We start from the raw sequence: 26,123 nt of genomic DNA, 5'->3' as shown, positions 1-26,123 counted from the left end.
TCTTTTTATCACAGAAACGAACATTTATTAACAGTATTTTTTCAGGTGCTGATTCTTTGTTTGAAAACATCTTTTTCACTGCCATGACAAAATCTGAACATTAAATTCTGAAAGACTGGCCTTATGACATACAGCAAAATTACAGGAGACAGTTTAAAAGATTAAAAGAAAAACATTCTAATGCTACACTCCTTAATAAAAATCCAGGAAACAACTTCCAAGTTTAAATACTTCTATTTTTATTAAAGAAAGTATAAAACACTGGATTCTATATTTTCAAACACTATTATTTTAAGAATCAGTCAAATCAGTCCGGTCTCTTCATACTGCCAACATGTCCAATACTTCCGTCTTACTATATTTCTAAAAAATCTTGAATTCTGAAAAATAGAAAAAAAATGTAAATTGCTGACCCCAACATTGTTTTTAAAAAGCTTGTGATTAAATAAACATACCCAAATTTACCATAACCATTTTTAACTGTGCAACTCTGTAGTGTATATTCATTGTTGTGCAGTTAATCTCCAAAACTGGAGACAGCGTCCTGTTGTCCAGGCTGGAGTGCAGTGGCCCGATCTCACCTCACTGCAACCTCCACTTCCCAGATTCAAGCGATTCTCCTGCCTCAGTCTCTCATATAGCTGGGATTACAGGTTGGCGCCACCATGCCTGGCTAATTTTTGTATTTTTAATAGAGACGGGGTTTTGCCACGTTGGCCAGGTTGGTCTCAAACTCCTAACCTCAAGTGATCCGCCTGCCTTGGCCTCCCAAAAAGTGCTGGGATTAAAAGCGTGAGCCACTGTGTATGGCCTCCAAAACTTTCATGCCATGAAAAACTCTCTACCAAACAATTCCCCCTACCCACTTTCCAAGTCCTTGGTAACCACCATTCTACTTTGTCACTGTGAATTGTACTATTCTAAGTACCTCTTACAAGTGTAATAATATAGTATGTCCTTGTAATTGGCTTATTTCTCTAAGCATAATGTCCTCAAGGTTCATCTATATGACTGAGTTTTCTTCCTTTTTAGGGCTGAATGATATTCCATTGTGTTTATCTACTCATTCACTGATGGATGCTTGGGTTGTATACCCTTGACTATTATGAATAGTGCTGCTATAAACATGAGTACAAAAAGACCTGGCTTTCATTCTTTTCCATGTATACCCAGAAGGATTAAGTAATAGATATGAGTAACACCTAGTTTATTATGTTAATGACTTAGAGATCATGCTCATTGCAATAAACATTATTAACAAAGCCTAGTTTAAGTAAGCAGGCATTTTAAAGTCCATATGTTATTGAACTTTTACCTCTACCCCACTAGTACAGAAGACATTAATGAAACTTCTTGGGCCTTCCTTGAGGTCTTTCCATTTTTCTTTCCATTTCCCTTTTCTGTTGATGTGCCTTAAACCTCTCAGCCATTGATACAAGCTCCTCTGGAATACTCTGAAATTATTCAACGTGTTGTTATTAGGATTCTGAGTTCTTTTCTACAACACTAAAATGCATCCAAATCATTTCAGATAATCGCACAGCTGGTTACATGACATCCTTTAAACAGAAACAGGTATCTCGATTAAACCCTACATCCATCTACAGGCTATAAAATTTGCTGCTTCAGCTGCTTCCAAGTGCCTTTAATGTGCCTTTATATGGTAGCATTTTCTACATATTCTTTCTTACCTCTGAGCCTGAATATGTTCCCCCTGCTGGAACATTTACCCCATCTTCTACAACTTTCCCCACCTCCACTCTACATATTTCTTCCTTGGCGGGGCTTTCATTGCTCACCCCCATTAGGTTAAGTTTCCCAGTTATATGCTCCCATAGTTTCTTATCACTGCCATGCTAAAGCCCTCAAAACGTGATGAAAACTTATTTGAAGCTTCCTGATAAATAGCAAGCCATAGTACCCGGCATAACTGACTGAGATACTGATAACAGGTAGATTTCTAATGAATTGCATAGTCTCACCTGATTTGCTCTTTCCAGAATATTAATCAATTCAGAGGCAACCCTCCAATCATTTCTAGTCAAAGTTGTAATGGAAACACCAGTCCTCCTTTAGTGTGGGGGAAAAAAACTCATGTATTCATTATTCAGTTAATACAGAATAAGACAAATGAAAACTTTTTCACAGAAGCTGGAATGTATTAAGATTTAGGGTCAAACAGATTTGGAATCTAAATCTGCTGTGGTTTAAACAGCAAAGGGGGTATATGATAGTACCTCTTATTTATTTATTTATTTATTTATTTTTTGAGATGGAGTCTTGCACTGTTGCCCAGGCTGGAGTGCAATGGCGCAATCTCGGCTTACTGCAACCTCTGCCTCATGGGTTCAAGTGATTCTCCTGCCTCAGCCTCCCGAGTAGCTGGGACTACAGGCGCCCGCCACCACGCCCAGGTCAATTTTTTGTATTTTTAGTAGAGACGGGGTTTCACCGTGTTAGCCACGATGGTCTCAATCTCCTGACCTCATGATCCACCTGCCTCGGCCTCCCAAAGTGCTAGGATTACAGACGTAAGCCACCGTGCCCGGCCCAGTGGTAGCTCTCTTAAGAGGAAAAAGGTCGTCTCATATCCATACCAATTTGTCAATAACCTTCAGAGTAACCACTGGGTACAGAGCTCAGCGGTGACACTAGATATAAAACACATAGAACCAGATATAAGAAGCTAATCATGGATGGAATCTGGTTGAGTCTGGAACAAGCCAAATGAACAGGGATAAATAAAGTAGCAAGTATAATCTGGGAAGTAGCTGAAAAATTATAGGTAATAGAATAAAATGGTTTTCTGGGCAAGAAGTTTGTGAGAGGAATAAGGAGAATCTAGAATTGGCCTTTCATGGGTGGACTAAGCTTACTTACCCTGCTCTTCCCGTGCGCCCTATTCGGTGTACGTATTCTTCAATATTCCGTGGAAAGTCAAAATTATAGACATGTGTAACGTCATGGACATCAAGTCCTCTAGAGGCTAGATCAGTTGCAATTAGTATTCTCACTTTGCCTAAAAAGTAAAGCCAAATGAACACTGAACCATTCTGGTATAAACCAACCCAAGATCTAAAAATAATATTTGCCCTAACTAATTTAATCAATTTTATTTCTTACTGTTTACATTAAAATGCTTACTTTGTGAAAATGGAAAAGTAACTGCCGGCAAGTTACAAGATACCATGGTTCAGCAAATGGGTCCTAAACCCTTCGAACCATGACAGAAAGATACATTTTTCAGATAACTTCAGATATATTTTCTGTTGCATATTAATACCTTGATATCCAAGTTTAAAGTCTTGTGTTTATTTAATACTTAAAGGCAGATTAATGTTTAGAGCTCTAATGAGTGTAGTTGTAGGATACAGAAGGTGAGGACAGATCTTAGAAATAAATGGGTTTCATGAAAAGATGTTACTCAGCCAAGCCCAGGTATTGCACTAATTTTAAACTGTATGAAATACTAATTACATAAACATACCTGTTTTAAAGTTCTCTAATGCTTTCTCCCGATCTCTCTGTTCTCTATCTCCATGCAGAGACTCTACTGATATATTTCCAAGTATTAGGTCACTTGATAAGTGATCCGCACTGAAGCAAAAGATAAACTCAGCATTCTTAGGTGCTTATTCTAATGCCACCAGTTTTACTTCTGTTAGCAAAAATCTAAAGTAACATAACAGACTTATCACCCCCATTTGGAATTAGTATACAAATAGAAATGATCCTAATCAATTTAATTAATTATAATGGACACACAAGAAAAAATACCTACACAGCTTTTCGAGAAACGAAGACAATGACTTTGTCTGTGGATGACATACTCTGTAGAAAAGTTTGCATGTGACTCCATTTCTCTTCCTCGGTGGTTACAATTATATTTTGCTTCACTGAACTTACAGCCTAAAGGATTCAAAGAACATAGTTCATCAAGGTCATCATGATTGAGGGTGAGACCGCATACATCAGCTCAAAATGCATCTTCTCTCTCATTGGTTAATGTTTTTAATAAACTGCTAAGCAAAATGGCAGACGTCCTAAAAAAATTACCTGTTTCTACTCAAGATTTGTATCTTAGATGTCACTTAACCTCAAAATACTATTGGTACCATTCCTTCAACCAACTATTTGTCTCTAATCATTTTATTTCATTTATTTATTTTTGAGACAGAGTCTCACTCTGTCGCCAGGGCTGGAGTGCAGTGGCGCAATGTCGCTAACCATTTTATAAAACAAATGTTAAATGGATCACCATTTGTAAATCTCTAATGAAATAAGGGGTGTAAGCAATGACCCATTATTATTAATGATTAAGTGAAAGGCCAATTTCATTTATTAATGATTAAGCAAAAAGCCAGAAAGAGAACTTTATATTATAATGGAGGGTTCCCACTGACAACACATGAACCCAATATTCAGTCTTAACTTCATAAAGGGAACAGACTTATATTTATGTATATATGTAGACCTACGTTTAGACCCTGATTCTAACAGGGTTAAAATTAGGTATCAGAAAAATATAAACCCTGACTTTGCTGGGTGCGGTGGCTCACGCCTGTAATCCCAGCACTTTGGGAGGCCAAGGGGGCAGATCGCCTGAGGTCAGGAGTTTGAGACCAGCCTGGCCAACATGGCAAAACCCTGTCTCTACTAAAATACAAAACTTAGCCAGGAGTAGTAGCCATGTTTGTAACCCCAGCTACTCAGGAGGCTGAGGCACAAGAATCACTTGAACCCAGGAGGCAGAGGTTGCAGTGAGCTGAGATCACCCCACTGCACTCCAGCCTGGGCAATACAGTGAGACTCTGACACACACACACACACACACACACGCTATATATCACTTGCACATGCGTGCGCACGCACGCGCACACACACACACGCGCGCGCGCACACACACACACACACACACACACACACACTATATATATATATCACTTGAACCCAGGAGGCAGAGGTTGCAGTGAGCCGAGATCACCCCACTGCACTCCAGCCTGGGCAATACAGTGAGACTCTGACACAAACACACACACACACACACTCTCTCTCTCTCTCTCTCTATACATATATAGGCCCTGACTAGAGGTTGATGGTATTAGCTGATTATTGAAATTTCAAATGAGATAATCGTATTACAGCTCTATTAAAACTATATGCAAGTGTGATTTGCCCTAAAATTGGGGAGTGGGCAGACTAGGCACACCAAAATTAGCTATCTTCAGAATTTTCATAAGAAATGTTAAACAATAGTAATAAAAAAAAGCTTACAACTAGATCCAATGTACCAACATAGACAATCATTGGTTCTTTCAAATAAGATTGTGCGAGGCGATGAACTGAATGAGGCCATGTAGCACTGGGAATACAAGTTACAAACATTACAATTTTGTTGTAAAAACATTACTATGTTTCCTTAAGCATGCTATGAACCAAGTTACTCATGAAAGACAAATTTAGTACTTATTTTTTCAATAAGTAAGGCAAATTTAACAGTTAATTCACTAATTACTCAACTACTGTAAAGCTATTAGATGAAACAAATATGTTTAATAAATAGGTTTTTGGCTGGGCCCAGTGGCTCACGCCTGTAATCCCAGCACTTCGGGAGGCCAAGGCGGGTGGATCACCTGAGGTCAGGAGTTCAAGACTAGCCTGGCCAACATGATAAAACCACGTCTCTACTGAAAATACAAAAATCAGCTGGGTGTGTTAGCGGACGCCTGTAATCCCAGCTACTCCGGAGGCTGAGGCAGGAAAATGGCTTGAGCCCAGGAGGCGGAGGTTGCAGTGAGCCAAGATTGTGCCACTATACTCCAGCCACCGCAACAAAAGCGAAACTCCGTCTCATAAATAAGTAAATAAATACTAGGTTTTTATGAACCAAAGGATACCTGTACACCTTCAACTAAATACTAATCTATGAAAAGCTAAGGCCGTGTGTGGTGGCTCATGCCTGTAATCCCAGCACTTTGCGAGGCTGAGGAGAGGCGGATCACTTGAGGTCAGGAGTTTGAGACCAGCCTGGTCAACATGGGGAAAGTCTGTGCCTACTAAAAATACAAAAATAAGTCAGGCGTGGTGGTGCGTGCCTATAATCCCAGCTACTCGGGAGGCTGAGGCAGAAGAATCACTTGAATCTGGGAAGCAGAGGTTGCAGTGAGTGGAGATCATGCCACTGCACTCCAGCCTGGGTGACAGAGTGAGACTCTGTCTCAAAAAAAAAAAAAGAAAGAAAAGAAAAAAAGGTACTAAAAGGGATTACTATTAGGTTAATTTTATCTCCTGGCCTTTATAAACGACAAAAAAATTCCAATTTTTCATAGGGTCAGCAGGCAATACCAAGTATTTAAGCCAAATAAATTTTTTTTTTTTTTTTTTTTTTTTTGAGATGGAGTCTTGCTCTGTCACCCAGGTTGGAGTGCAGTGGCGTGATCTCGGCTCACTGCAAGCTCCGCCTCCCAGGTTCACGCCATTCTCCTGCCTCAGGCTCCCGAGTAGCTGGGACTATAGGCGCCCGCCACCACTCCCGGGTAAATTTAGTAGAGACGGGGTTTCACCGTGTTAGCCAGGATGGTCTCGATCTCCTGACCTCGTGATTCGCTCGTCTCGGCCTCCCAAAGTGCTGGGATTACAGGCGTGAGCCACGGCGCCTGGCCATAAAAATCTTTTAAAAGGTTGTTGGCTCATGCCTGTAATCCCAGCACTTTGGGAGGCTTAGGTGGGTGGATCACTTGAGCTCAGGAGTTCAAGACTAGCATGGGCAACATGGTGATAACCCTGTCTCTACAAAAAATACAAAAATGAGCTGGGTGTGGTGGCATGCACCTGTAGTTCCAGTTACTCAGAAGGCTGAGGTGGGAGAATCGCTTGAGCTGGGAAGGCTGAGACTGCAGTGAGGCAAAATGGTGCCACTGCATTCCATCCTGGGTGACAGAGTGAGACCCTGTCTCAAAACGCAAAACAAAACAAACCTTCAAAATATACTGATCAAAGAATATCTGCATTTAAATGTTTCCTCAACTATATATAAAATAATGAAAGTGACCACTTTGTATACCTTCACAGTAATTCAATAAAATCTAAGTTCTCTTTTCTTGGGCTGGGCATCGTGGCTCAAGCTTGTAATCCCAGCACTTTGGGAGGCCTAGACAGATGAATCACCTGAGGTCAGGAGTTTGAGACCAGCCTGGCCAACATGGCGAAACCCCATCGGTAAAAATACAATAATTAGCTGGGCATGGTGACGTGTGCCTGTAGTCCCAGCTACTCAGGAGGCTGAGACAGGAGAATTGCTTGAACCCGGGAGGCAGAGGTTGCAGTTAGCCGAGATCGCGCTGCTGCACTCCAGCTTGAGTGTCAGCGAGACTTTGTCTCAAAATAAATAAATACATTCACTTTTCTTGAAATAGGAAGGTTATTTGTAATAAAACTATGTGAGGGGATTTTGTATTTTTTAAATTTTATATTATTTATACTAATAAAGACAAAGTATATAAGCCCAGGATATATCATTCTTTTTTTTTTTTTTTTGAGACAGATTTTCACTCTTGTTGCCCAGACTGGAGTGCAGTGGCATGATCTTGGCTCAGTGCAACCTCTACCTCCCAGGTTCAAACGATCCTCCTGCCTCAGTCTTCCTAGTAGCTGGGACTACAAGTGTGCGCCACTATGCCCGGCTAAGTTTGTATTTTTAGTAGAGACGAGGTTTCACCATGTTGGCCAGGCTGGCCTCAAACTCCTGACCTCGGGTGATCCACCCACCTCGGCCTCCCAAAGAGCTGGGATTATAGGCGTGAGCCAGTTTGCCCAGCCAATGTTGTTATTTATACTAATAAAGGATATAAGCCTAGGAGATATCATTCTTTATAGATCACTCATTCAAATAATCATTGCTTCCTGTTTTATTGTGAGCAATAAGTATTCAGTAATCAAATGCTTATCTCCTTAGACAAGTGAACCCTTTATTCAAAAGTGAGACCTTACTATGATAAGTAAATGTTTGTGTTGAAATCCCTATCTGTAACTTAGGAAACCCAATAGTCATGAATAAGCACTTATTGTTACACTGTTCTACTTCCAATGTTATGAGATCTTTCACCTAAAGATTTCAACACTTCCAAGTAATGCTCAAATATTGTGGGAAAATCCAAACAGAATGAGATTCTATTCCACTGATTTCTATTCTGCACACAGTAATTAAGCATATACGTACCTGGTCATAACTGTCTGCCTATCTGGGCGCACATCTAACAAAATCTTCATTATCTGGGGTTCAAATCCCATGTCCAACATCTTGTCTGCTTCATCTAAAACCTGCATTGACAAAAAAGAATGTGGTTAGATTAGATATGGGAGGCAGGTAATAATACATATGCTTTCTTTATTAGTAGAACACTAAGAAAGGCTTTTCTCATTTCCCCTATTACTTAAGCCACGATTCTAATTTCTCCAGAGGTCAGAATACTAAGCAATTTGTCATTGTACACTGTCTACATGGATTTTTGTTGGCTTTCCAATAGCTTCCAAATCTCCTTAAACAAAATTTTAAGTGTCTAAAATATCCAAGTAGATTTTAATTACTGTGTACCTATTTTCCAAAATTTAAAGTAAACATGCATGATAATTTCAAATAGAAGTCTTAATTCTTTCAACATGCTAAAGAGAATGAGAAATATTCCTACAGCCATTATAAAATCGACAGCCATAGCCTGGCGTGTTGGGTCACGCCTGTCATCCCAGCACTTTGGGAGGCCGAGGCAGGCGGATCACCTGAGGTTAGGAGTTTAAGACCAGCCTGGCCAACATGATGAAACCTCGTCTCTACTAAAAAGAAAAAATTAGCCAGGTGTGGTGGTGGGAGCCTGCAGTCCCAGCTACTTGGAAGGCTGAGGCAGGAGAATCACTTGAACCTGGGAGGCGAAGGTTGCAGTGAGCCAAGATCATGCGACAGCACTCCAGCCTGGGCAACAAGAGCAAAACTGTGTCTTAAAATAAAAAAATAAAAAATAAAATCGACAGCCATTCTAAAAGAAACTGATACCCAAGCACTTGGGAGTTGATTAAAACTATTAAAAGCTCAAGGGGAGGGAAGAGAAATAAAATAATAGTTCAGTCATTTTTTATTTTTTGAGATGGAGTTTCGCTCTTGTTGACCAGGCTGGAGTGCAATGGCATGATCTTGGCTTTCTGCAACCTCTGCCTCCCAGGTTCAAGTGATTCTGTCTCAGCCTCCAGAGTAGCTGGGATTACAGGTGCATGCCACCACACCTGGCTAATTTTTGTATTTTTAGTAGAGACGGAGTTTCATCATATTGGTCAGGTTGGTCTCGAACTCCTGACCTTAGGTGATCCACCTGCCTCGGCCTCCCAAAGTGCTCGGATTACAGGCGTGACCCACTGCGCCCGGCCAGTTCAGTTATTTTTGAACCCAGCATCTCAAACCCCTATTTCCATGATTACCAAGTAGGTTATATTCTTCAGATTGACGAAGTTACTCATTTGCAGATCATTCAATCTTCCGGGAGTTGCAATTATGATATCTACACCTTTTTTAAGCTCTTCTATTTGTTCATCTCTATTTCCACCACCATATACACAAACACTTAAAAAGAAAAAATCTAAAGGTTAATGTTTAGGCACAGAATATCTCATCACAACTTAAAATCCAATAAAAGGGATAAAAATCAATTATCAGGTACCTTTAGGGGTATCTGCCCCTTTCTGAGAATTATGTACACCCATCAATCCATAATGTTGTATCCTAAAGAGCAATATTTGTACCATCACCTGACCCAGGCTCTGACTGATTAGAGTAGTGCTAAATGCCTGACCCATGCTGAGCCATTTGGATTCTCTGAATGTGTGAAAAATGATGGGGAAGATGTGTAAAGCTACAAATGATTAAAATATGATACTGGTGAAGGAATGGGAAAAAAAATTACTTACCTCCGAAGCCCTTTATATGAATATTTGCAACATTCTCCTTCTACTTGAAGTGCTAATTCCCGAGTGGGAGTTAGAACTAACATGCCGGGTCTATTCCTTTGACCTTTAAGGCTTTGGAGAGAAAACAGATTAATATTAAATTACTTGTCTCAGATGCACGGTACATTTATTCAGTACCATCAAGATTTGTAGCAACAAGCCAGACGTGGTGGCTCACGCCTGTAATCTCAGCACTTTGGGAGGCCAAGGCAGTCGGATTACCTGAGGTCAGGAGTTTGAGACCAGCCTAGCCAACATGGTGAAACCCCATCTCAACTAAATATACAAAAAATTAGCCAGACATGGCAGCAGGCGCCTGTAATCCCAGCTACTTGGGAGGCTGAGGCAGGAGAATCACTTGAACCCAGGAGGCGGAGGTTGCAGTAAGCCAGGATCACGCCACTGCACTCCAGCCTGGGCAATAAGAGCAAAACTTTGTCTCAAAAAAAAAATTTGTAGCAATGAGTATCAGTTAGACATAGTCAGACTATGCCTTTTTGTGAGAAGGTATATGATTAAAAGTAGTCTCTCTATATATTACAGACTTTGCTAATTATGATCTACGTACCTAAAAAATGGCTGATATTACACAGAATATGCCAAATTCCCCATAAGAAAATGTATTATTTTCTCAGATTTAAGATTGCTTTACTGAGAGATTAGTGTTAGTTTCTATGTACTTTTTCTTATTACAAAACCAATATATATTTACCATAAAGTAGGGAAATTTTAAAAAGCCACACACCCTAAAACCCAACTTCCCAATACCAGCCTTTTGTTTAAGATGGTCTTTTCATTAACATCTAAAATGTCAAATATTTTATCATGGAATAGATAAGTGTATTGGACATAGTTTAAACAGTTTCCACTGTTTCACTACTAAGGCTTTTGGTAGATATTACCTATTGCCTCCTAAAAATGTTTTGCCAGTTTATACTTTCACCAGCACAATCTAAGTGTTTAATTCCTTGCATCTTCTCTGAAGCTAGGCATTACCTTTGGATCAAGCAATAGGTAAAGAAACTTTAATTACATTTTTGATATCTAAATCTATTAAACCTCTATAAGAAGAAACCAGCCATAGGAATTCTTACCTGGGTTGAAGGACCAGATGAATAAATCCAGGCATTAAATAACACAATGTCTTTCCTGTTCCAGTCTGGGCTACTCCTATAAGATCTATTCCTTGCAACACAATGGGCCATGCCTGTGACTGAAACGGAATGATAAACATTAACACAAAAAGTACATCTTTTGCTGGGCGCAGTGGCTCACGCCTGTAATCCCAGCACTTTGGGAGGCCGAGGCGGGCAGATCTCCTGAGGTCGGGAGTTCGAGACTAGCCTGACCAACATAGAGAAACCGTCTCTACTAAAAATACAAAAATTAGCTGGGCGTGGTGGCACATGTCTGTAATCCCAGCTACAAGGGAGGCTGAGGCAGGAGACTTGCTTGAACCTGGGAGACAGAGGTTGTGGTGAGCCGAGATTGCACCACTGCATTCCAGCCTGGGCAACAACAGCAAAACTGTCTCAAAAAAAAAAAAAAAAAGTACATATTTTTTGCCAACTGTTCCTTCTTTCCCAGCTCCAAACTTCTTTCAACAAAGATTTTTTGAACTCTAGGGAGAAGGTGCTGGTGGAATGCTAAGACAGTTGCTCCCTGGAGTCTTCTAACAATCAGATATCACTGGTTTCGAAGAAAAACATTGAGTGAAATATTGTAATTAATGAAAGCATACCTGAATAGGTGTTGGCTTTTGAAAACCTGCCTTTTTAATGTTTTCCATAACCTCAGGATAACATTGAAAGGCGTCATCAAATGTGCAGGTAGGATTGGGGATAGGTCGTTTCTCCCCATCCTTCAAGTCATCCCACGTTATATTAAAATTTTCTTTCCTTCAAAGAATAAAAAACATCAGTGGCTTTCCTCACTTTACTCCCCAAGCAAGACATTCTCCAAAATCAGTGCTGGTCTTATCTAGAAATTCAACTGCAACTGATTAAAATGAGACTGTCAGGGAAGTTATAATGAAATGCATAAAGAAATAGAAGCAGGAGTCCATCTGTCTCTTATCTGAGAATAGTTGCAATGGGAAACTTAAAAACATTATACATTAGTAGGTCAATGAATGTTTCATGGATCAAAGATGAGGAGCCTGAAAATCATGCTTCATAAATTAAAACCAGATTTGGCAAACATTGAGGGCCTACGATGTTCCACACATATTTCATTAATGCATCCTTAACAATCCTATGTGTTAGGAAGTATTCTCAATTTGACAGGTGATCATACAGTAAGTTACCCTGCTCCTCACCTTAACCATTCTGCTATTCCATGCATCTCTTAGTTTTATCAGACTTTAATAGTAAGAAAAACCATTGCAATTAAAACCTTCCAATTTCAGGTAGCAAGGACTGAAGAGTTTAAGAAATTAACAAGATTAGATCTTTTTTTTTTTTTCAATTCAACTATTGGAGAAATAATTCTCTAAAATTGCTGTCCAATATAGTAGGCACTAGCCACACATGGCTATTTCAATTTCATATAAACATTCATTTGCTCAATTACACCAGCCATACTTTAAGTGCCAGTTACTCCATTAGACACAAATATAGACCATTTTCCATCACTGCAGGAAGTTTTACTAGACAACAATGTTCTAAAATATCATGTAAGTTGACACATTTTCATTTGAATATTGAAGGCGTAGCCTTCAAATATCATTTCACATTTGCCCGAAGTGTTAATACCAATAACGTAACTATACAAATACTTACACAACTAGGTAATGAAACTACCCACCTCCAACTATCTGCTTCTACTTTTGACATGGCACTTGTGGCAGTGGACTCTTTATAAAAGTTTTTCTTAATTGGTGGTAAATCTGGGACAAAGGCGAAAATCCACACTTTGATAAATTTTACAGCATCATGAATACTTAGTCAAAGCTACAGAAATCATACTACAATATATTTTATTTACCATGCATACCATTTGATAGTTCTACACTTTGCCAACGAGGCTTGCTCCCATCGAAGAGATCTCCCTTTCTGGAGGTTAGGCACAGTAGCTTACACCTCTAATCCCAGCACTTTGAGAGGCTGGCATGGGAGGATCACTTGAGCCTGGGCAAAATAGTGACACCCTGTCTCTACGGAAAATTTTTAAAGATTAGCCTGGTGGCCAGGCGCAGTGGCTCACACCTGTAATCTTGGCACTTCAGGAGGCTGAGGCGGGTGGATCACCTGAGGTCAGGAGTTTGAGACGAGCCTAACCAACATGGTGAAACCCATCTCTACTAAAAACAAAAAAATACAAAAATTCTCCCGGCACAGTGGCGCATGCCTGTAATCCCCGCTACTCAAGAGAGGCAGAGGTTGCAGTGAGCCAAGACAGCGCCATTGCACTCCAGCCTGGGCAACAAAAGTGAAACTCTGTCTCAGAAAAAAAAAGGGGCCGGCGGCGGCGGCTCACGCCTGTAATCCTAGCACTTTTGGGAGGCCAAGGCTGGTGGATCACCTGAGGTCAGGAGTTCGAGACCAGCCTGGCCAACATAGTGAAACCCCATCTGTACTAAAAATACAAAAAATTAGCTGAGCATGGTGGCAGACGCCTGTAATCCTAGCTACTCAGAAGCCTGAAGTAGGAGAATCACTTGAACCCAGGAGGCAGAGGTTGCAGTGTGCCAAGATTGCGCCACTGCACTCCAGCCTGGGCAACAAGAGCGAAACTCCATTTAAAAAAAAAAAAAAAAAAATTAGCCTGGCATGGTGGTATGTGCCTGTAGTCCCAACTACTTGAGAGGCTGAGGTGGGAGGATCACTTGAGCCTGGGAGATGGAGGCTGGAATGACCTGTGATTTTGCTACTTCACTCTAGCCTAGGCAACAGAGTGAAACCCTCAAAAAAAATTTAATAAAAATTAAAATGAAGCATGCTTTGTAAGACATCAAACACCACAACTGATAAATATACTCCCACACATAATAGTTTGATTATCTTTTCTTTGAGGGTCCATCCAATTACTTTTTTAGAAATTAAACTTATATCCTTGGTCTACTCTCTTAAGTTACATTTCTTTTCTTTTCTTTTCTTTTTTCTTTTTGAGATGGAGTCTTACTCTGTCGCCCAGGCTGGAGTGCAATGATGCAATCTCGGCTCACTGCAACCTCCACCTCCTGGGGTCAAGCGATTCTCCTGCCTCAGCCTCCTGAGTAGATGGGATTACAGGCATGTGCCACCGCGCCCAGCTAATTTTTGTATTTTTAGTAGAGATGGGGTTTCACCATATTGCCCAGGCTGGTTCTTGAACTCCTGACCTCAGGTGATCCACCAGCCTCGGCCTCCCAAAGTGCTGGGATTACAGGCGTGAGCCACTGGGCCCGGCCTAACTACATTTCTTAAAAGCTTATTATACCTCTTCCAAACTTAAATCCTTTCCCTGGTCTCTGATCCCAAATCTTCCCAACACAAACTGTTTAGGCCACACAGGAAACTTAACTTGCAGAGGTCTTGACCAACATAGTAGCAATAACTGTCAATATTTTGGTAACATATTAGTGCTTTTGAATTTTAAATAAAAGATGTTGTATTGCTGCCTCCTCCCGAGAGCCAAGGCTAGTGCTTGAATAATGAAGCATTATCCCCCATATATAATGTTCCACGTGAGAAATCTCATTTAAAATTCAAACAAAAGGGCTGGGTGGGGTGGCTCACGCCTGTAATCCCAGCACTTTGGGAGGCCAAGGCAGGTGGATCACTTGAGGCCAGGGGTTTGAGACCAGCCTGGCCAACATGGTGAAACCCCGTCTCTACTAAAAACATAAAAATTATCTGGGCTTGCTGGCACACATCATAATCCCAGGTACTTGGGAGGCTGAGGCACAGCAATCACTTGAGCCTGGGAGATGGAGTTTGTGGTGAGCCAAGATCACGCCACTGCACTCCAGCCTGGGTGACAGAGCAAGACCCTACCTCAAAAAATAAAATAAAATTCAAACAAGGCTGGGCACAGTGCCTGACATCTGTAATCCCAGCAGTTTGGGAGGTTAAGAGGAGAGGATCACTTGAAGCCAGGAGTTCGAGACTAGCCTGGACAGGATAGTGAGATCTCATCTTTAAATTGAAAAATAAAAATCAAAAACAAAATTTAAACAAACAAACAAAATGCTGCCAAGAACTGTAATGCTTCTTATGATTTAATGGCTTTCCCTTTTTTTTTGCTCTTGTCAACCAGGATACTCCAAGATCTATTTTTACTCAATCACAGCAACAATGTTAACTTATGGTTTGCATGTTTACTCCCTTCCTATTTTCCCATTGGGACTGATTTTTTCCTATTTTATTAGCCCTTTGCAGTGAATTACCGCTGACAGACTATAAATAGGTTTAATATTTCCCCTACAGCATAAATGACAGCTGATAACATAGAAACTATCATAACCTAGGGACTAATTGCAGCATTTTAGATTTTACTATTTTCATATACATTTCATTACTAAAAATAAAGCACAGACATTGTACAGAGAATAAAAACTGCAGTTAACAGAAACAATATATGTAAATATTAGGAAGCAGCACTGACCTGCCCACTTTGTTTTTTGCCATTTCAAACCTTCCTCTCTAATTTGATCCCAATCTATCAATGGCCGATCTCCTGCAACAACATTGTTATCTGTGCTTCCATCTTTTCCAACAGAAGGTTGGAATGCAGTATCTGTTAAAAACATTTGTATCGATTAGTTTTTTTCTATTTTTTTTTTTTTTTTTTTTTGAGATGGAGTCTCGCTCTGTCCCCCAGGCTGGAGTGCAGTGGCGCGATCTCGGCTCACTGCAAGCTCCACCTCCCGGGTTCCCGCCATTCTCTTGCCTCAGCCTCCCCAGCAGCTGGGAGTACAGGCACACGCCGCAACGCCCAGCTAATTTTTGTATTTTATAGTAGAGACGGGGTTTCACCGTGTTAGCCAGGATGGTCTCGATCTCCTGACCTTGTGATCCACCCACCTTGGCTTCCCAAAGTGCTGGGATTACAGGCGTGAGCCACCATGCCTGGCCTCTATTTTGTTTTTTAATAAACAGACAATGCTTAAAATATAAAATTTGGGGTTTCTGTACTACATTAACATGACAACCTTGTCATTTGTTATCATTCAACAACTTATAAAAATTTAATTTTATTGGAGAAGGTAAGTAAAATAGCACAAGTCTAATGTTTGCTAAAATATTGTCATACCCATTACTCAGTCGTTAGAATAATAGTCCTGGGAAGCAGATATTATCTCAGATGAGTAGATGAAGAGCCAGGCTTGGTAGCTCACTCCTGTAATACCAGCACTTTGTGAGGCTGGTGTGGAGGATCGCTTGAATTCAGGACTCAAGACTAGCCTAGGCAACGTGGTGAAACCCCATCTCTACTCTACAAAAAATTTAATTAGCTGGGTGTGGTGGCACACACCTGTGGTCCCAGCTACTTGACAGGCTGAGGTGGGAGAATCACTCCCGCCCAGGAGGTCAAGGCTATAATGAGCCATGATCACACCACTGCACTCCAGCCTGGAAAACACAGTGAGAACCTGTCTCAAAACAATTTTAAAAATAAAATAAAAATAAAAATAAATAAATGAGTCAGATATAAAAATAGAATCTTAGACCTTGTCTTTTTCCCCAAGAAACACTAAAAGGCAATGGTGCCTTCTAAACCCAGGTGTCTCTATTCTACTTTCACATTGCATCTAGATATGATTCAGTAATTGTTTTCTCTATTCTAAACAGATCTGAGATTTTTAAAATAACCAAATATTTAAGCAGTTTTCAATGTCAGCCATGAATCTGAAGACAAGACTAGGGTTAGGATCCTGGGACCAATCCTTACTCTACCCACTAACACTAAAGTGTGTGTATTAAAGGGTTATTTCCCTGCTTGTGAGAACTAGATTAATACAAAGACAAAAAATAAATAAATAAAAATAAAGGGTTATTTCATTTTCACTTACCTGTGGCTAAAAGTAAAACTGCTAGGCATGAACATAGAGCTCTGGTATTTTAATTTGAGGAAAAATATTCTGGGCTTTCATTCATAGTAAAAAATCATTAAGACTGCATTTATGGCAGCCTAATGCTTTGAATCAGAAAGTGAAATCAGGTATAATGGCTTATAACACTGAATGAAATTAAAAACTTTTAAAGGGGTTCAGTGGGAGAAAATTACTTACCAATTCCGCATTCTGAATTGTAATTTTCTTCTAGCTTTTTAACAAAATTGTCTATCACTGCTTTTGCTTTCGTTTGCATTGCCTTGCTGCCAAAAATTTTGACTAATGATTCTGGTTGTTCTTGTATTATCTAGGTACAAGGGGAAAAAGAGGTGAGACTTAAAATTTCCCTAAAAAACATAAAAAGTTCCCTAAGCCCCTAACCCCTTCCAACAATCACTCAACTTCAAAATCTATTACAGTATAAAGTAAATACAGTATTACCACCAATCAATGTCTAAATTTCTAGTTAGAGAGGAATACTACTTATATTTACTCTGGGATTTACCTCCTAGTCAGATGGAGAGGGGCAGGACAACCTGAACATTTAAAATTGGATAGCTAGGGAATAAACTCAGCAAATAGTGTAGAGAAATAATTAAGGCACTAACCTGACAGGTAATATTATTTTGATTCTGAGGTCTCCAACCTATAAAATGGTATTTGTTTCGCTAATTTTACAGAATTGTAGGGCTGAAATGACATAATCTATGCACTATATAGAGAGTTCACTGAACTGCCAGGTTACTTAGGTAAATTTTTAACTTGATGGGATTCTATCCTTAACTCATGTATACTGTCAGGGGCTTACGTTTACAAGACTGACACATTTTGTGAATAGAATCTACAAGTAACACCTATCAACATCCATAATTTCAAATACCCTAATGGATTCAATATTTATCTAGAAAATACTATACACCAAATTTTGTCTTAGGTTGGCAATTCAAACAATGTTTATCAACTACAGTATTTACACGCACTATAACTCTGTATGAGTGCTGAAACGAGGCCATTATGGGATGCTATGGAAATGGACAGCTACACAGAATGGGGGCCTTAGACTTCCCTGAAAGGTGAGAAGGAATTATTTATGAGGAAAAAGCTATGGTAGCAGCGTATGTCAGGAAGTGGGTGGAGTACTCAAGGAATTAGGGGAGAGGACACTGGAGAGAGTGAACAGGCCAGAATCAAGTCAGCAACTTTAAGGAGTCTAGACTTACAGGCCTGAGATACTATGAAAGGCTTTCACATAGGAAAAGGACACAAATAATTTGTGTTTTAAAATGATTGTTCTAGCCAAGCGCAGTGGCTCACACCTGTAATCCCAGCACTTTGGGAGGCTGAGGCGGGTGGATTATTTGAGGTCAGGAGTTTGAGACCAGCCTGGCCAACATAGTGAAACCCTGTCTCTACTTAAAGTACAAAAATTAGCCAGGTGAGCTGGAAGGGCACCTGTAATCCCAGCTACTCTGGAAGCTGAGGCAGGAGAATCTCTTGAACCCAGGAGGCAGTGGTTGCGGTGAGCTAAGAGCACACCAGTGCACTTCAGCCTGGGCGACAGAGCAAGACTCCGTCTCAAAAAAATATAAAAAAATAAAATTATTGTTCTGACCACAGTGGAGAATGATTAGAGGATACAAATGGAAGCAGGACATACAGTTAGTGGGGAAGGCAAATGATGACATTCCCCTTGAGAAGTACAAGAAATAGTCAAGACCTAGCGGTGAATGAGAATAAGGAAATACCAATGTGGATAGTCAGATTACAAACTTGTAAACTCAGTGAATGTTGCTACCATTCACTAAGATTGAGAATACAAGAGCTAGCCAAAGTTTGAGGAAAGGGGTTCTCTCTGGAAGGAAGACCTTTTGGACATGATGAATATTCCAGTGATCTCATTCTTATGCAGATTATCTCTAACGATTTTTACCTCCGAATATTCCAGTGATCTCATTCTTATGCAGATTATCTCTAACGATTTTTACCTCCGACTGGGCCTGGTGGCTCACGCCTGTAATCCCAGCACTTTGGGAGGCAGAGGTGGGCGGATCACCCGAGGTCAGGAGTTCAAGACTAGCCTGGCCAACATGGTGAAACCCCATTTCTACTAAAAATACAAAAATTAGCCAGATATGGTGGCGGGGGCCTGTAATCCCAGCTACTCCAGAGGCTGAGGCAGGAGAATTGCTTCAACCCGGGAGGCAGAGGTTGCAGTGACCCAAGATCGTGCCACTGCACTCCAGCCTGGGCGACAGAGTGAGACTCTGTCTCAAAAAAATAAAAAAGATTTTTACCTCCAAGAGTCCCAAAACCTACACCTGGAACAGCTTAAAATTCAGGTGGCTTCTTGAGAATAAGGAGTATGAAGAACTTTGGCAACTTACCTAATTTACCCTAGTATGTTAATAACTCAGCAGAAATTAGAGTTAAGGCCTGGTGCAGTGGCTCATGCCTGTAATCCCAACACTTTGGGAGGCCAAGGCAAGTGGATCACTTGAGGCCAGGAGTTGAGAGCAGCCTGGCCAACACGGTAAAACCCCGTCTCTACTAAAAATAAAAAAATAAAATAAAATAAATTAGCTGGGCTTGGTGGTGGGAACCCGTAATTCCAGCTACTCAGGAGGCTGAAGCAGGAGAATTGCTTGAACCCAGGAGGCAGAGGTTGTACTGATATCACGTCACTGCACTCCAGCCTGGGAGACAGAATGAGGCTGTCTTAAAAAGAAAAGTAGAGTTAGGTGCTCCCTTAGAAATGCATGATGCTCTCTTAAGGGCCGAAAAACACAGATGGCTTACTTGGATTGTGGTGTTTGTTGTACTTTGTATATTCTTTATTTTTGACCCACCACGACCTGTTTTTAAAAATAAAGGAATATATTGTTATAAGTTGAAATTAGTAAGTTGAAAATTTACCCATTTTCCTCAACAAACATTCTCTAGTTCTTCCCCCCAAATGCTCCTAGGGTTCAACAATCATTTTTTGTTTGGAAAGAGGGAAGTAAGAGGTTCTATTCCAAATTTTGGTGGGTTTTAGGAGACTCTTATCCCAGACAGGTGGAGACTATGGATTCTGTATCAGCTTGCACAAAACTTAATTGGGTCCAAACTGGTGGAGAGGATGTAGAAATTGGAACTCTTTCATACAACTCAACAAATAAGTTTTGAAAAATGGGCAAACACTTGAATAGACATTTCTCCAATGACATACAAATGGCCAACAGGCATGAGATGTTCAACATCACTAATCAGGTCCACGCAAATCGAAACCACAAAATGATTGTCACCTCACATCTGGTAGGATGACCATTATCAAAAACAGAAAAAAAGTGTTGGTAAGAATGTGGAGAAATTGGAACCCCTGTGTACTGTTGGTGGGATTGAAAATGGTGCTGCCACTATGGAAAACAGTATAGATTAACTAAAAAATTAAAAACAGAATTAACATATGATCCAGCAGTCTCACTTGGGGTATACATCCAAAAGAATTTAAAGCTGAGTCTCAAAGATATATTGCACTTCCATTTTCATAATAACACTACTGAAATCAAAAGGTGGAAGCTACCCATTTATCATAGACTGATTAATAGATAAAGTAAGGTATATACTTAATAATGGAATACCATTCAGCCTTAGTAAGGAAAAAAATCCTGTCTCATGCTACAAAATGGGTAAGCCTGGAGGATATTATTCTTAGAGAAATGAGCCAATTACAAAGACAATTACTGCATGATTCTACTTATATGGATTACCTAAAGTAATCTAACTCAGAAACAATGTAAATGGTGGGTCCCTGGGATGGGGCAGGAAAAAATGGGGAGCTGTTCAATGAGTATACAGTTTTAGTCATGCAAGTTCCAGAGATCTGGGATACAACATTGTGCTTATTATTAGTATTGTGATATACGTTTAAAAGAGGGTATTTCATTTTTTACAATAAAAAAGATGGATCCAGATCCAACATCAAGTGAGTGCTCTGTAGCACAGTGCCCTTTCATCTGCTAAGTATTAACTTAAGTGATTTTTATTGCAAACCTAGTGGCTTTCTTTCTTGGAGCATCATTCTTCAGATCTGAGCCCAAGCCTTCTGAAAGGCCAATGAGTCTCTGGGTAGTACAGCAATTAGTCTTACAATGCACTATTTTGTAGCAGCCTCCATCTATTCATTTTTCTCAGGTTTTAAAAAGGGTGAAATACACCTAATAGGTAAAATGTGGCAATTTATACTCGGGCTTAATGGCAATCAATGGGGTAATCATTCTAATCATTTTTAAATGCTTTTCAAAAAAATTCAGAAATGGGCCGGGCTTACGCCTGTAATCTCAGCACTTTGGGAGGCCGAGGTGGGTGGATCCACAGGAGTTCGAGACCATCCTGGGTAATATGGTGAAACCTCATCTTTACTAAAAACACAAAAATTAGCCAGGTGTGGTGGCGCACGTAATTTCAGCTACTAGGGAGGCTGAGGTGCTAGAATCGCTTGAGCCCGGGAGGTGGAAGTTGTAGTGAGCCGAGATCACGCCACACTGCACTCCAGCTGGGGCCACAGAGCTGCCTCAAAAAAAAAAAAAATCAAAAGAAAGAAAAAAATTAAAAATTCAGAATTGAATGTTAACACTCAAGATGTAGTAAGAAAAGTTTTTAACTTTTTAAAAATTAAGGAAACTAAAAGCAAGATACAACTGCTCTAGGCAGCCCTACAATGACCTTATAGCTTTTCTTTGATTTCTGGCTCTAAATGGTACTCATAGAAAGACTGATTAAGTTTTGTTTTTCATTCTGGGGTTAGCTGTCTGTTAAAAGGCCTGTTCTAAGCATCCCTCTTCAGCCCTAAGATTTCATAAGTCTTCTAGGAGTTGCTCTCCCAAATACATTGTCTGTATAAACACCAAAAGGTGGATTAAATTACTTTTTTTTTTTTTTTTTAATTGAGACGGAGTCTTGCTCTGTCACCTAGGCTGGAGTGCAGTGGCGCGATCTCAGCTCACTGCCAACTTCTGCCGCCGGGTTCAAGCCATTCTCCTGCCTCAGCCTCCGGAGTATCTGGGATTACAGGCGCGCGCCACCACGCCCAGCTATTTTTTTTAATATATATATTTTTAGTAGAGACAGGGTTTTGCCATGTTGGCCAAGCTGGTCTCGAATTCCTGACCTGGGGTGATCCGCCCGCCTCGGCCTCCCAAAATACTGGGATTACAGGCGTGAGCCAACGCGCCCGGCCAGATTAAATTATACTCTATCCCCAGGTTTTACAAATAGCTCTGGGAGAGACCTGAACCTCACTAGGTGGCAGCTGATTGGAGGTGAGGCAGTGGGGAGGAAATGCCTTCGCCCAGGCTCCGCCCCTGGCCCCACCTATCCTGCCCTGCCAGCCACTCCCATTCTCACCGATTACCGCGCCAACAAAGTGGCTCTTCAAAGCAAAACACAGCGGCAGTTCCTCGTGACCAGCGGCCACGGCCTCCGGGGGCCTAGAGGTGCCTCTCCAGCGACCACCTCTGCCGACACTATATCCCTCAGGACCTGTTCGATTCAACTCCTCCGCCGGCCTCCTCTCTGGCGCTCGGGACACTGTCGAGCTTCGCCGACTAGCAACGACCCACGTAGAGGCCTTGGGAGCTCCTCCGTGGTGGGACATTGTTCCAAGAAGGGGCGCGTCCGACGTCGTTGCCGTCCAGCTCTGCACCACCTGACCGTGACGTCGTAAGAGTAGCGTGCCAGGGAAGCCACGCAGCCGCTACTTAAGGAGCCCGCACGAGGCTAGCCCCCCCGCCCACGCTCTCTATCCCGCCCACTTCGCACTGATTTCACGCAGCCATTGGCCAGTGAGCGTTGTGGGCGGGACTTTCCCAGTTTTAGCCAATCGGTTTTCTGAACCGTGGGAGTGTGCCTTGAAGTAGTCGATGTGCCCCGCCCCCCACCCCCCCACTGTGTATTCCTTTCCAGGCGTGGGACTTTTTCCAAACGCCCAATTTGCTCCCTCCCCTACTGGACACACACCTCGGGTTCCTGGCATCTCAGTGCCTTGGAAACTTTTTTTTTTCTTTTTAAATAGAGACGGGGTGTCGCCGTGTTGCCCAGGCAGGTCTTGAACTCTTGGCTTCTGGCTTCAAGTGATCTTCCAGCCTCGGCCTCCCAAAGTGCTGGGATTACAGTCAGCCACTGCACCGGAAATGTTTTCAACCGTGACCCATAAAGGTAAGTCACTGTTACAAGGTGACCCAATCCACACATAAAAAACTTGAAACAACAGATTGACAAAACAGCATTTATCCTCGCTATGTAAGCTGCATTTTGATACATTTACGCTTATTTTAGTTTTTGAAATGGTTGTAATCCACAAAATTAAAAAAAAAAAATTTAATAGAGATGGGAGTTCCCAGTATGTTGCCCAAGGCTGGTCTTGAACTCCTGGACTCAAGTGATCCTCCCACCTCCACCTCCCATAGTGCTGGGGTTACAGGCCTGAGCCACTGCACTCGGCTCACAAAATGTATTTAATGGCCCACAGCTTAAAGATCACTGACTTGATCCTTTTGTAAGTCATAAGTGTGATTGGGTTTTCATGCTCTTGTGTCAAATGTGCCTCCCTCAAACCTTGTTACGAAGTGGGCACACTACCCACCTGATGTGAAAAATGAAGAGAAAAAGATCACTGGCTTGAGAGACATTCATTGCTCTACACAGTCTTCTGGATGTTTGCTATGTTTTTTTTGTTTGTTTTCTTTTGTTTTGTTTTTGACCTCTGTCGCCTAGGCTGGAGTGCAGTGGTGCGATCACTCACTGCAGATTCGACCTGTTGGACTCAAGTGATACTCCCACCACAGCCTCCCGAATAGTTGGGACTACAGGTGTGCACCACCATGCCAGGCTAATTATTTTGTAAAGACAAGACCTCCCTATGTTGCCCGGGCTGGTATCCAACTCCTCCTGCCTTGGCCTCACACAGTTGAGGGATTACAGGTATGAGCCACAGTGCCTGGCCTGCCATAATTTTAGAGCTAAGGAAATAAATTGAATAGATTCCTGAAGCATTACCGTCACTGCAGCCTGGCTCTGTGGCTGGACATACTACTACTCCAGGGCTTCAAGCCAGCTGCAAGTGCACTCCTTTGATTAGGATCTTTGAATTATCTGAACAAATTTCAGTTTAGGCCAGCAGGGATAACTCATACCTGTAATCTCAACACTTTAGGAGGCCTAGGCGGAGGATCTCTTGAGCCCCAAGGTTCAACATCAGTCTGGGTAACATAGTGAGACCCTGCCGGGTGTGGTGGTACAGGCTGTAGTCCCAGCTACTCAGGAGGCTGAGGTGGGAGGATCACTGAGCCAGGGAGGTTGAGGCTACAGTGAGCCGAAGTGCCGAAATGGTGTCACTGCACTCCAGTCTGGGCAACAGAGCAGAGACCCTGTCTCAAAAAAAAAAAATTTTTTTTTTTTCAGTTCAATCATCCATCAAACACAGTGGACACCAGGCCAGGCATGGTGTGGCTCATGGCTGTAATCCCAGCACCTTGGGAATGTGAGGCAGGCAGATCACTTGAGGTCTGGAGCTCGTGACCAGCCTGGTCAACATGGTGAAACCCCATCTCTAATAAAAATGCAAAAAATATTGGCTGGATGTGGTGGCTCATGCCTGTAATCCCAGCACTTTGGGAGGCAGAGGCGGCTGGATCACAAGGTCAAGAGATCGAGACCATCCTGGCCAACATGGTAAAACCCCATCTCTACTAAAAATACAAAAATTAGCTGGGCGTGGTGGTGTGCGCCTGTAGTCCCAGCTACTTGGGAGGCTGAGGCAGAATAATTGCTTGAACCCGGGAGGCAGAGGTTGCAGTGAGCCAAGATTGTGCCACTGCACTTCAGCCTGATGACAGAGCGAGAGACTCCATCTCAAAAAAAAAAAAAAAAAAAAAAAAAAAAAGATTACCTAGGAAATAGGCCAGGCGCGGTGGCTCACACCTGTAATCTCAGCACCTTGGGAGGTTGAGGTGGGTAGATCATCTGAGGTCAGGAGTTCAAGACCAGCCTGACCAACGTGGTGAAACCCCATCTCTACTAAATACAAAAAATTAGCCAGGCATGGTGGCGAATGTCTGTAATCCCAGCTACTTGAGAAGCTGAGGTGAGAGAATTGCTTGAACCTGGGAGGCAGAAGTTGGCAGTGAGCCAAGATTGCGCCATTGCACTCCAGCCTGGGCAACAAGAGTGAAATTCCATCTCAAAAAAAAGATAAAAAAACATTAAATAAATGATAGGCATTTAATCTCCATTCTCTAATCTTTAATCTGAAATGGGTAGTATTAACAATCTTTAGAAAGGAATTTTGTTGGATTCAACGTGCTGAGATTTTATTAAGGATTTTTGCATCTATGTTAGTCAGAAATACTGGTCTGTACTTTTCTTGTAATGTCTTTGACTGGTTTTAGTATTAGGGTAATGCTGGCCTCATAGAATCTCTTCCAGAAAGTAGAAGCAGAGGGATACTTCCTAACTCATTCTATGAGGCCAAAATTATTCTAACACTGAGAGTGAACCTTCACGTAAACTAGGAACTTTCAACAGCCAGGAAGGACATACCCATCAAAGACAATAACCATGACTCATAAACAATGGCTTCCAGTGCTTTGAAGAAACCTCAGGTGCTTGTCACTGACCTGTGTTCGTGAACTAAGAAATGGGAATATGTGGGCTAAGAAATAGTTTCTCTTGATAAACAACACTTATAAAAACCTCTCCTTTTCATGGTGCCTCAGAGACAATCAGCTGCTTCAACATGAAGCTGAATGTCTCCTTCCCAGCCTCTGGCTGCCAGAATCTCTTTGAAGTGGATGAGGATTGCAAATGTCATACTTTTTCTGAGAAGCTATAGTCACAGATGTTGATGCTGATGCTCTAGGTGAAGAATAGAAGGGTTATGTGGTCGGAATCAGTGGTGGGGACAACAGACGAGGCTTCCTCATGAAGCAGGGTATTTTGACCCAAGACTGTGTCTGCCTGCTACTGAGTAAGGGGTATTCCTCTCCTCCAAGGAGAACTGAAGAAAGAATGCACAAATCTGTTCAAGGTTGTATTGTGGATGCCAATCTGAGTATTCTCA

The 26,123-nt window shown here is 41.5% G+C and overlaps 2 protein-coding genes, 1 non-coding gene and 1 pseudogene across 11 annotated transcripts in view, besides 3 other annotated features; 3 read left to right on the top strand and 1 right to left on the bottom strand.

Moving 5' to 3' along the window:
• Nucleotides 1–22,739, bottom strand: DDX43 (DEAD-box helicase 43). Of its 7 annotated transcripts, NM_018665.3 has the most exons (17): nucleotides 22,412–22,739; nucleotides 19,823–19,878; nucleotides 17,204–17,333; nucleotides 15,577–15,708; nucleotides 12,796–12,877; nucleotides 11,732–11,888; nucleotides 11,085–11,203; nucleotides 9,952–10,062; nucleotides 9,466–9,607; nucleotides 8,219–8,319; nucleotides 5,275–5,362; nucleotides 3,782–3,909; nucleotides 3,488–3,597; nucleotides 2,881–3,019; nucleotides 1,983–2,070; nucleotides 1,316–1,454; nucleotides 1–380 (listed from the first exon to the last, which is right to left on the bottom strand). In NM_018665.3, exons 1-16 carry the CDS (start codon nucleotides 22,659–22,661, stop codon nucleotides 1,341–1,343), a joined length of 1,947 nt encoding a protein of 648 aa, NP_061135.2. In that variant the 5' UTR covers nucleotides 22,662–22,739; the 3' UTR covers nucleotides 1–380; nucleotides 1,316–1,340. The 7 variants fall into 7 exon arrangements, with proteins under 7 accessions (NP_061135.2, XP_047274937.1, XP_047274939.1 ...); XM_047418981.1 differs by lacking the exon at nucleotides 1,983–2,070; XM_047418983.1 differs by lacking the exon at nucleotides 15,577–15,708.
• Nucleotides 13,391–13,575: a silencer, noted in NCBI's record as "fragment chr6:74113715-74113899 (GRCh37/hg19 assembly coordinates)". NCBI's record gives its function as "represses an EF-1alpha promoter that drives an FKBP-Casp9 reporter gene in an ReSE screen in K562 erythroleukemia cells {active_cell/tissue: K562}" and the evidence as "EXISTENCE:reporter gene assay evidence [ECO:0000049][PMID:32094911]".
• Nucleotides 18,564–19,221: an enhancer, noted in NCBI's record as "OCT4-NANOG-H3K27ac hESC enhancer chr6:74108069-74108726 (GRCh37/hg19 assembly coordinates)". NCBI's record gives its function as "activates a minimal SCP1, AML or CMV promoter by ChIP-STARR-seq in naive H9 embryonic stem cells {active_cell/tissue: H9 hESC(naive)}" and the evidence as "EXISTENCE:reporter gene assay evidence [ECO:0000049][PMID:30033119]".
• Nucleotides 22,404–26,123, top strand: part of OOEP (oocyte expressed protein) — a 26,609-nt gene continuing 22,889 nt past the window's right edge. For 2 of the 3 annotated variants that reach the window (NR_190285.1, NM_001428256.1), the window contains exon 1: nucleotides 22,404–23,221. Coding sequence is in view for 1 of the 3 variants with exons in the window: in NM_001428256.1 (NP_001415185.1) it covers nucleotides 23,197–23,221 (25 nt within the window). In the remaining 2 variants the exon portion in view is untranslated. Of the gene's footprint in view, nucleotides 23,222–24,466; nucleotides 24,636–26,123 lie in introns of those variants that run through there. The other variant, NR_190286.1, reaches the window with a different exon arrangement.
• Nucleotides 22,622–23,122: an enhancer, noted in NCBI's record as "H3K27ac hESC enhancer chr6:74104168-74104668 (GRCh37/hg19 assembly coordinates)". NCBI's record gives its function as "activates a minimal SCP1, AML or CMV promoter by ChIP-STARR-seq in naive H9 embryonic stem cells {active_cell/tissue: H9 hESC(naive)}" and the evidence as "EXISTENCE:reporter gene assay evidence [ECO:0000049][PMID:30033119]".
• On the top strand, nucleotides 23,554–23,654 carry LOC124901538 (small nucleolar RNA U13). Its single transcript, XR_007059969.1, has one exon. It is a non-coding gene; the product is annotated as a small nucleolar RNA U13 (small nucleolar RNA).
• Nucleotides 25,800–26,123, top strand: part of RPS6P8 (ribosomal protein S6 pseudogene 8) — a 730-nt pseudogene continuing 406 nt past the window's right edge.

This window comes from Homo sapiens, chromosome 6 (assembly GCF_000001405.40).
Source record: "Homo sapiens chromosome 6, GRCh38.p14 Primary Assembly".
NCBI lineage: Eukaryota > Metazoa > Chordata > Mammalia > Primates > Hominidae > Homo > Homo sapiens.
The sequence above is the reverse complement of the archived record's forward strand: the minus strand, read 5'-3'. Positions and strand labels throughout refer to the sequence as shown.

What these genes read in the sequence shown, in the direction of transcription:
- DDX43 (XM_047418981.1), bottom strand. Translation starts at nt 22,661, where the DNA reads ATGTCCCACCACGGAGGAGCTCCCAAGGCCTCTACGTGGGTCGTTGCT. An exon ending in GCAAAAAACAAAGTGGGCAG is followed by an intron (nt 12,878 to 15,576) that starts GTCAGTGCTGCT and finishes CCTTTGTCCCAG; the next exon opens with ATTTACCACCAATTAAGAAA. An exon ending in TTCGTTTCTCGAAAAGCTGT is followed by an intron (nt 3,598 to 3,781) that starts GTAGGTATTTTT and finishes CTTTTGCTTCAG; the next exon opens with TGCGGATCACTTATCAAGTG.